The sequence below is a fragment of the Homo sapiens genome, chromosome 4 (assembly GCF_000001405.40).
Source record: "Homo sapiens chromosome 4, GRCh38.p14 Primary Assembly".
Lineage (NCBI taxonomy): Eukaryota > Metazoa > Chordata > Mammalia > Primates > Hominidae > Homo > Homo sapiens.
The window spans coordinates 144,020,608-144,032,016 of NC_000004.12; positions in this window are offsets into that span (position 1 = coordinate 144,020,608).

The following is an 11,409-nucleotide window of genomic DNA, read 5'->3' on the forward strand; positions in this document are numbered from 1 at the left end:
CTGGATATCAGGTTGAGTTGCAGGAATTGTGCTCAAGAGTCAACCAAGTAAAGGAAATGTTGTTGATATTCATATAAGCAGTAAGAATTAATTCACATGATTTTATATTGACAAAGGGAGAGCGATTAGCATGAGTCTTAAAAATGCTATTTCTGAAAATGGATAAATAACTGTCACTATTCTTACAATGGACTATTAGAGCAACTATTAAAATCATGTTTTCAAAAATAAAGATATAGAGACTCAGGATAAAATGGATACGTGGAAAACAGCAAGATCTCAAAATTGTATATACACAAATAAAATCCTATTTGATTCTTTTTTCCTCTGGGTTGTGCTGTCTTCACCTGGAATACACCTACTCCTTTTTAGGTGGCCTCCAATTCTGCTTAGGCTCTTAATTGAATAGTACTTCCTCCACAAAGCCTTCCCTGACTTCCTGTCTTTCTCAGGTGCCCCTGCTCTATACTTGTGTGGTTCCATCTTCTTCCCTTATCATAGGACTTATTACACTACATTGCAATCATTGTGTCTCCACTGGACTACAATTTTTAAGTGGACACACCCTGACTATGTCTATCTTATTTACCAATGAGTGCTTAGGGCACACTTGACAATAAATATTTCTCAAATCAATAAATGACAAATGAATATTGCAGTGCAAAGGAAAGCAACTTCTCACGGGCAGTCCTGGGTGTATAGGCTGATCATTTTTTATATATCCTACGGGTAACCTATGTCATATCCTAGCTTCAGGTTCCCTCCAGTATGGAGGTCCATTGCTAAGGCAGGAAGGGGAAAACGAAAAGGAAACTCAGCCTAAAATTCAGCTTTCATACCTCCTTCAGCCTGGACTGGTCAGAGTCTGAGAGTGCTTTCTTTTCCATGACCTCCCACTCTCCTTTCCTGCAGAATCACATCCTTAGCAATTTTCTAAACTCCTGTAGTGCTCACACATGCCTGTTTATTAACACCTGTCTCAGGTTGTTGTGAACAATCTGTTGCTTTGTATTTGTGGGTCCTGTCTCTGTTGTTCTGTTTCCAGCATCTGGCACAATGCCCTGTAGAGTACCTGGCCCTATTAAAGTAAGTCAAAACCTGGAGGGTTCTCAATGAGGAAATCAGAGGTCAGATTCAGCACCTCATACAGGGTGTGAGGAAGCAGAGCCATATAGTTCCCTCTAGTGGCGTATCTGCACAATGGAAGGAAAAAATGTGAGCCCCGTAAATGCAACAGAAAAAAATATACGTCAGATTACATTTTTCTCTTTCAGGCATTCCCTAATCTTCTTTAAATTTTTCAAAAATATTTTTACTGAAATACACATTCAGAATTATCATAAAATTCTGCCTAAGAGCTATATCATGCAAATTATTAGACAAATCCACATCTTTTAAGAATTTTGACTCTGCATAAAATAAAAGAAGTACTTTTGAGGCATTTGATCAAACATAAAAAACTTATCCAATTTTCCTGATACTACATGTCTTTAGGCTATTTTTTGAATTGCCTGAGTCATTTCTATGACGTAGTTAAGAAGGATGAAGTTCAATGTTATAATCTAGGAAAGGCAACTTGGATCGATCAACACAAACTTATACCTTGCTTGTTTCATGACAGAGAACCATTCATTTTTGTCAATTACTTACCTCTCAACTATTTCAGGCTTAGATTATTCCTGAAGATGGTTGCATGCTAGTCTGATCTGCCAGTGGAGAAGTGTGCTTTTCATGTTTTGCATGGAGGAGTGGAGAACAGGGGAGGGGCAGGAAAGTGGAGGCACAGTGGTTTATACTACTATCCTCCTTGGCACCTCATCGCCTTAGAATTTTCCAGCCTCCTTTGCCAGAGTAGTCTAAGAACTTTCCCTGACCTTTGTTTGTTTATCATTTGAAATTTTTTTTAAATAAAAAAACAACTACAAGGTAAGATAAATGTAACGCTCAAAATAACCCTGTTAGAGAGGCAGAACAGATATTAGCATTCTTATTTTAAATATGAGCAAACTATGGAATGGAAAAGAGACTATGAGTGTATTACTTGATTTGATTTGCCCTAAGTGTTTTTTAAACGTATGGATTTAGCTGCTAACATTTAAAAAGAAGGTATATTTTAATTAAAAATCAGGAATTGATTTAATTAAAAATTTGGCTCCTGTTACCGGAAGATCTGGCAAGAGTTAGCATGCAGTTCTACATTGTGACAATCCATGAGAGCTAAGGACTGGCTGTCTCTTGGGACAAATAGGCTTTCTTGAGTCTGGTAAGTGCTCCACCTGATGCTTGCTTCCATTTCTTAGATTAGGTTCTACTGTGGTAAGGCCTCAAAATCTCAGTGTCTTGCAGCAACACTGGTTCATTTCCTGCTCACATTACATTTGGTCTATGACGGTGACAAGTTCCAGGATCCAGACTGAAGGAGCCACCCCCATTTGGAATATGCTGTTCTTGTTGCAAACTGGGGGAAAAAGGCCAAATAAGGAATGGCTTTTAATGCTTCCTCTCAGACATGGTATGTGTTATTTTTTTTTCTCATATTCTATTAGCCAAAGTAAATCAGTGGCCAAGCTGACCTCAACGGGACAAGTAAATATAATTCTTCCAAATGGAAGTCCTCCAAGTCATAGGTCAATGGTGAGGATATATAAAACACTTACAGGAAGGGCCCTAATAATTGGGAGCGAAAACACAATCCATCACATTCATTTATACTCTTTCTAAGCTTTTGGCATTTGGGTTTGGAAATCTAATTTATTTAGGAGTCTCCTTCAACACCTTCTAGTGATGAGATTTCTTTAACCCAGTTTTCAGTTTCCTTTCTTTAAGATTATAATGAGATGTGATGTGCGTTGAAGAAACCCCAGAAGTGAGAAACTCTCATTACTACAATGGTGATGTAGACAGTGAAAAACTGTTCCCAGTTGCCTCTAAGTCCATTGTGCTATACTGCTGGAATCAGGAATCATACATGATCTTTCTGCTGAGAATTGATAGGTCCAGCTTGTTCTACATCCAAATAATAATTCAACAAATGATTTGTGAGCACCTACCGGGCACTGTGCCAAGTGTGGAAGACACAACCTTCAGTAACTCAAGTTTCCCTTCAGGAACTGACAGCTTAATTGGGAAACAAATAAAGTAAGAAGGCAATTGCATTATGGAGTGTCAAGTGGATGATAGTAGTAAGCAAAGGGTGTTATAAGAGTACATAAGAGGGGTACCTAACTCAGACTTGGGGTTCTGGAAAGGTTTTCCAGAGCAAGCAAGACCTAAAGGATGAGTAGACAAGTCACGGGAGAAGTAAGAACATTTTAAGCAGAGAAAACAGCATGAGCAATGGTCTGATACCAAGAAAGAGAGAGATAGTGCAAGAATACACAATGTAGTAGTTTTCAAAACTGTTTGAAATTTTAATCTCACATTGGTTCTTTTCAATGTCTAGTATATCAATTCATTCTGCCGTTTACCTTTGTAAAGATGAATTTAGCCCTGGTTCTCTATATGAATACTAGAGGAAGTATACTGATAAAAGAAAAGGAACAAATATGTAGTCATTTCTAAGATTTATTTTTATTAAAATGTAACACTCACAAACTAAGTGTATAACTCATATGTATATATACACACATACACACACACACACACATACATGAGTATATGTGTGAAACTGTCACTCAAATCAAGACATAGAACATTTCAGATGTATTCCAGAGATCATGGTGGATGGGAGGCAGGACTGGATTGCAGCTCCCACTTGAACAGACAAAGCAGCGTGTGGAGGCTTGTATCATGAACTTTGACTGCAGGAATAAATCAGGAAAGCTGAGAGAACCCACAGACCCTCTGAAGGAAGTGGATTGTTCCTGCAGGTCTCAGGAGACACCCCAAATGCTGTGGGAGCCCAAACTGCAAACTGTGGAAGTGGGAAAGGGGAATAGTCAGCTCCTGAACACACATCCTCACTGGGGAACCTAAAGGTCTAGATCACAGGAGAAGATTTTGACCTTACTTGGAGCTGAGTCAATTTAGAGAGCCAAGTGACATACACTGCTAGAGAAAGCAGCGCGAAAAGCCCTGTGGGCTCACTGGGTTCCCTAGCCATCCATTTCTGCCTTGCCTCACAGGGGTCCTTGAGGAGGGCTACCAGAGGCACTGGGAAATGGTCACAAAGAGAAGGAAACTTCCAGCTGAACTTTGTAACAATTTGAACAGATTGAGAAATCTCCTGGCCAGAACCTGGGGGAGGGCATGAATCCAGTGTGCAGACTCCACAGGTGGGGAAGTACCAAAGCCCTACTTGCTTTTGCAGCTGGGAGGCAGGTAGCCTGGGGCAGAATCTCAGCCCTGCTCACCCACTGCCTTGAAACAGACTCGGTGCTGTTGTAGGGGCTATGGTGGGAGTGAGACCAGCCCTTCGGGTTATGTGGGAGCTGGGTGAGGCCTATGACTTCAACTTCCCTGACAACCTGCATGGGATAAAAATCAGGGATAAAAATCACTACAGCTCTGTCCTCAGGAAGCCACATCCCTAGGAAAAGTGGGAGAGTACTATATCAAGGGAACACCCTGTGGGACAAAAGAATCTGAACAACAGCCTTGAGCCCTAGACTTTCCCTCTGACAGAGCCTACCCAAAGGAGAAGGAACCAGAAAGCCCACTGTGGTAATATGACAAAACAAGGTTTTTTAACACCCCCCCAAAATCTCACTAGCTCACCAGCAATGGATCCAAATGAAGAAGGAATCCCTGATTTACCTGGAAAAGAATTCAGAAGATTAGTTATTAAGCTAATCAAGGAGGTACCAGAAAAGGCAAAGCCCAATTTAAGGAAGTGAAAAAAAAATGATAGAAGAAATGAGGGGAGAAATTTTCAATTAAATAGATAGGATAAATAACAAACAATCAAAACTTCAGGAAAAAATGGATGCACTTATAGAAATGCAAAATGCTCTGGAAAGTCTCAGCAATAGATTCCAACAAGTAAAAGAAAGAACTTCAGAGCTCGAAGACGAGGTTTTCAAATTAACCCAAACCAACAAAGACAAAGAAAAAAGAATAAGAAAATACAAGCAAAGCCTGCAAGAAATCTGGGATTATGTTAAACAACCAAACTAAGAATTATCAGCCTTCTTGAGGAAGAAGAGAAATCTAAGTTTGGAAAACATATTTTGGGGAATAATCAAGGAAAACTTCCCAGCCTTGCTGGAGACCTAGACATCCAAATACAAGTTCAAAGAACACCTGGGAAATACATTGCAAAAAATCATTGCCTAGGCACGTTGTCATCAGGTTATCTAAAGTTAAGATGAGGGAAAGAATCTTAAGAGCTTTGAGGTAAAAGGACGAGTTAACCTATAAAGGAAAACCTATCAGATTAACAGCAGATTTCTCAGCAGAAACTCTATAGACTAGAAGGGATTTCGGCCCTGTCTTCAGCCTCTTTAAACAAAATAATTATCAGGCAAGAATTTGTATCCACCGAAACTAAGCTTCATAAATGGAGGAAAGATACAGTCTTTTTCAGACAAACAAATGCTGAGAGAATTTGGCACTACGAAGCCAGCACTACAGGAACTGCTAAAAGGAGCTATAAATGTTGAAAGAAATTCTGGAACAACATTAAAACAGAGCCTCTTTAAAGAGTAAATATTACAGGACCTATACAACAACAACAACAAACAAACAACAACAACTAAAAAACAAGGTATACAGGCAAGAAATAGCACAATGAATGGAATGGTACCTCATATCTCGATACTAACATTGAATATAAATGGCCTAAATGCTCCACTTAAAAGATACAGAATTAAAGAATGGATAAGAATTCATAAAGCAACTATCTGCTCCCTCCATGAGACTCAACTGACACATAAGGACTCACATAAACTTAAGGTAAAGGGGTAGAAAAAGACATTCCATGCAAATGCAACCAGAAGCAAGCAGGAGTAGCTTTTCTTTTTTTTTTTTAATTTTATTATTATTATACTTTAAGTTTGAGGGTACATGTGCACAACGTGCAGGTTTGTTACATATGTATACATGTGCCATGTTGGTGTGCTGCACCCATTTACTCATCATTTAGCATTAGGCATATCTCCTAATGCTATCCCTCCCCACTCCCCCCACACCACAACAGTCCCTGGTGTGCGATGTTCCCCTTCCTGTGTCCATGTGTTCTCATTGTTCAATTCCTGCCTATGAGTGAGAACATGTGGTGTTTGGTTTTTTGTCCTTGCGGTAGTTTGCTGAGAATGATGGTTTCCAGTTTTATCCATGTCCCTACAAACGACATGAACTCATCATTTTTTATGGCTGCATAGTATTCCATGGTGTATATATGCCACATTTTCTTAATCCAGTCTATCATTGTTGGACATTTAGGTTGGTTCCAAGTCTTTGCTATTGTGAATAGTGCTGCTATAAACATACGTGTGCATATGTCTTTATAGCAGCATGATTTATAATCCTTTGGGTATATGCCCAGTAATGAGATGGCTGGGTCAAATGGTATTTCTAGTTCTAGATCCCTGAGGAATCGCCACGCTGACTTCCACAATGGTTGAACTAGTTTACAGTCCCACCAACAGTGAAAAAGTGTTCCTATTTCTCCACATCCTCTCCAGCACCTGTTGTTTCCTGACTTTTTAATGATCGCCATTCTAATTGGTGTGAGATGATATCTCATTGTGGTTTTGATTTGCATTTCTCTGATGGTCAGTGATGATGAGCATTTTTTCATGTGTTTTTTGGCTGCATAAATGTCTTCTTTTGAGAAGTGTCTGTTCATATCCTTTGCCCGCTTTTTGATGGGGTTGTTTGTTTTTTTCTTGTAAATTTGTTTGAGTTCATTGTAGATTCTGGATATTAGCCATTTGTCAGATGAGTAGGTTGCAAAAATGTTCTCCCATTCTGTAGGTTGCCTGTTCACTCTGATGGTAGTGTCTTTTGCTGTGCCAAAGTTCTTTAGTATAATTAGATCCCATTTGTCCATTTTGGCTTTTGTTGCCATTGCTTTTGGTGTTTTAGACATGAAGTCCTTGCCCATGCCTATGTCCTGAATGCTATTGCCTAGGTTTTCTTCTAGGCTTTTTATGGTTTCAGGTCTAACATTTAAGTCTTTAATCCATCTTGAATTAATTTTTGTATAAGGTGTAAGGAAGGGATCCAGTTTCAGCTTTCTACATATGGCTAGCCAATTTTCCCAGCACCATTTATTAAATAGGGAATCCTTTCCCCGTGTGTTTAAAAGAATGTGATGCCTCCTCCCCACCCACTTGCTCCCTCTTGCTATGTGATACACCAGCTCTCCCTTTGCCTTCTACCATGATTGGGAAGCTTTGTGAGGCTTTCAACAGAAGCAGATGTCAGCACCATGTTCCCTGTACAGCCTGTAGAAACATAAGTCAAACTAAACCTCTTTTCTTTATAAATTTCCCAGCCTCAGGTATTCCTTTGTAGTAATGCAAAATGGACTAACATACTGGGGGAGTCACATTATCTTCTTCCAAAAGCTGTTTCAAGACCTCTCCTCAATCACCTCTTTTATCAGAGCCCTGGTCCAGGGTGTGCACTGCCCACCACTTTGCCCTACATGGAATTCATGGACAGAGCCTCTTCTCATTCCTTCCCAGGGACAGCTAACACAAGACTATCATATATGAAATAATTTTACTAAGGGTTTAGAGACAATAGAGAGGAATTCCAGCAGAGAGGAGAAAACAACACTGTGTCTGAAGCCTGCAAGCCATCTTCATAGGGAATCCCCTCTCGGTCAGCTGTCTTCTTGGTCCTGGCCTGTCACTGTATTGCTATGATTCATTCCTCAGAATTGAATTCCTTCTCCTTTTTTTCTTTACTTCCTCAGGATTCCATACTCCTGGCTTTTCCTGTATTCTTCCTCAGTTGTTGAGGAAAAGCAGAATATTCCTTAGTTTTTCTTTTTAATCCCAAATTTCTGATTCAGAAAGGTACTCTCCTACTTTATTAAGCAGGGTAATACATCTCTTTATTGACTATGTTTTATAACAAAAGTCTTTTTTAATGAAAAATCAGTTGTCTCTGTACTCCTGATAAATTCTACAGCCCCATCAAATAGTTTTTAAAATATAATATTTTTTCACCTACTCAGATAATTGCCTCTCAGTGTAACAAATACTATGGTGGAGGTAAGTGCAAAGTGAAAGCTGTTAGAGCTGGAATATAGGATCCGAGACCAGGCTGTAAACAGCTGGAGATGAGCCCCCAGCAAAGATTTTCTGCATAATGTAATATGAATTATGAAGGATAAGTAAGAGTCAACAAATAAAAAGAGAAGGGAATAGTGGAAGGAGTAAATATGGTGACTAAATGTGGAATGTGCTGGCTTTGAAAGACTGTGGAATATTCAAGTGGAGTAAATGTCCAAATATCTATGATAATTGAAATCACTGGAAAGAGTAAGTTTAGCAAAAGTGAGAGGAAATAGGGCTAAAATGTACACTGGAGAACTGAACAAAGCATAGGAAGAAGAGTGGCCATAACAGGTCCAGAGAAGGAGTGGTGTTGGAGAAAGGAGAAATACCAGAGAAGGGAGGTGTTCCTAAAGTCACAGAAGGACAAGGAAAGAGGATTTTAAGAATGGAAAAACAGTCTTCAATACTGCAGAGGGATCAAGTAAGAATGATTAAGATCATCCACAGGGTTTAACACCGGCAATGTCATCCAGGCTCTTACATGATGAAGTTCTCCTAAGATGGGTCAGAGCTTGGCAGCCAGGTGCTCAAACTGAGATTTTTCTTCTCTTGAGACTCAGATTTCTGCTTACAATGTTGTACACTCAGACATTCATTCTGAAGTTCCAAACCTGGTCATGGAAGAGCAATACATTTCTCTTTGAAGTTTCTTTCTTGAGCAATAGGACATTTATAGCACTGACTCCTGTTGCCTTTGTTATCTCACAACAATACGAGTGTCTCTCCACCTAGTAACTCCTTCCTACTAGTCTAGTCCTCAGTTGTTTTCCCCTTTACCTTTATTAGGAACTTAAGGGGAATAGGCAAGTCATAAATGAAATGAGTGTCCATTCCAGATCTATTAAAAATATAAGTCAAGTCACAATAGTTATTTGCTCAGAATCCTCTAATAGTTCCCCACTGTACTAAGAAAATCAGCCAAGGGCCTTACAGGGTCAGTCCTTCCTACCTCTTTGACCTCGTCTCCTTCAACTCTCCCCTTTAGTAATTCTGTCTTTTGGGCTGCTACTTCCACAAGTCAGACCTCAGGACCTTTTCGCTTTGATGTATCCTTCTGGAATACTCCTTTGCTATATAATTTCTTGGCTCATGTCTCTTTTAAGATCTTTACTCAAATGTCACCCTTTAAAGATAGCTCCCTTGACTAACCTAAATTGCAACCAGTCCATAACAATCTTTTTCTTACTTCCCAGCTTTAATTTTTTCTGTAGTACTCATGACCATTTAACATACTATATACTCTTTATCTCACTAGATGTAAGCTCCAGGAGAGAAGGATTTTTGATTATGTTTTTATTTCTGTATCTTCAGAATCTATAATAATTCCTGGCAGAAAATAGACTCTAAATAAATATTTGTTGAATAAATGAACGAATGAATAATAAGCTGGTCACTCCTCTCCACCTGCTCGGTCATCCCTGCAGGTATCCCCACCTGCTAATAACTCCTCTCCACCTAACTAGGGGCTTCTGTGGCCCTGGGGACCTACAGTCATCCTAAGACCATCTGACTAGTAGGGGATGGGAGAGTGGTAGTGGGGCATGAAAGGTGGGATGTAGGAGAGAACACAGAGGAAGATTTCAAAGTGGGAAGAGTTGGGGAGAGCTCAGTCAGGTTCTATTGGCTGCAAAATTGGAGATTAAAGCAAGTAAACAAATATTTATTCATAGGTGTAAGGATTTGTTTCAAGAAGGGCAATTTGAAGGGTACCGAGGGCTCCGGTCCAGTAGAGTTGATACTGCAACTTTTCCCTCAGTTCCTTTGGCTCTGCTTTTACCCTTCACTTATCCTATCTTTCTTTCAAATTTCAAACTTTTCTTTAAAAAATGCTACTGCCCTGTGTTGCCACTTTCTGCTGTCAGCTTGGTTGTTGAAGTAGAACATGCAGACAAACCACAGGAAGCTTATCTTTTGTGCAAGTCAGTAGCTGAGATGAGTTTCTTTTTTTTATTATTATACTTTACATTCTGGGATACATGAGCAGAACATGCAGGTTTGTTACCTAGGTATACACATGCTATGGTGGTTTGCTGCACCCATCATCCCATCATCTGCATTAGATATTTCTCCTAATGCTATCCCTCCCCTAGCTCCCCACCCTCGACAGGCCCGGGGTGTATGATGTTCCCCTCCATGTGTCCACGTGTTCTCATTGTTCAACTCCCACTTATGAGTGAGAACATGCGGTGTTTGATTTTCAGTTCCTGTGTTAGTTTGCTAAGAATGATGGTTTCCAGATTCATTTATGTCCCTGCAAAGGAGATGAACTGAGATGAGTTCATCTATCTATACTTTACATATGAGAGATCAGCAGGACATGCTTCCTTTTTGGGATTGAATGCAGTGGTTTGAGTAAGAGTTTTTTGAATTTTGTTATAAGGACAACTGTTTCTAAAACAACATTTTGACCCAATTGAGCTGTGTTTTTTAAATCCGTTCAGTGGAGTCTCTCTCTCTCTCTCTTTTTTCTCTGAAAGCAGATATTGACTTTAGACACAGACTCAGTCTTCCCAATACACACCAAAAAGTTGATCTGGCTGTTAAAACAACACTGACAATTCTTCAGGCAGATATTTCAAGGCTAAGTGTTTTTCCCAAGGCTGAGTATTTGATTTAAAACAACAAAACAAGCTGGCAGTTACAGGCTGGACTTGAAACATTCTCAATCAGTGATGAAGTGCATCGCGCGCCCTTGGGTTTTCTTCCCAAGGCATCTAAGAAGCAGCCAGATTTCCAGCTTGTGTGAACCAAATGGCAGCCTAAGGAAGTGACAGCACTTACCCTCTTTTGCATCAGCAGTGGTCAGTGAGTAAAATGAAGTGAGCCCCAAACTTCCTCTTAATGAGAAAAAGTGTTACTTTATCAACCAAGTTGCTCTACCAGGATACACTTAATTTCCTATATTTCCTTTAATAAAGGTGAAAAAAAACAAAGTCGATATATTGCTAGATACATGAGCTTTGCTTTAAATTAAAACCCACTTCCTTCCCAGAACCATCAGAGATGAAATCTGAGTTTATGCTCCCCCAACAAATTGGAGGACACATTTATTTCAGAATTCAACAGAAGATAGGGAAAGACTAATAGGAAGAAAAAAAAACAAGAAAGAATATTATAAATAATTTTACAGCAGAACAGGAGATTTATGTCTTTTTCCATTGTACACAAGGTTGTTTCA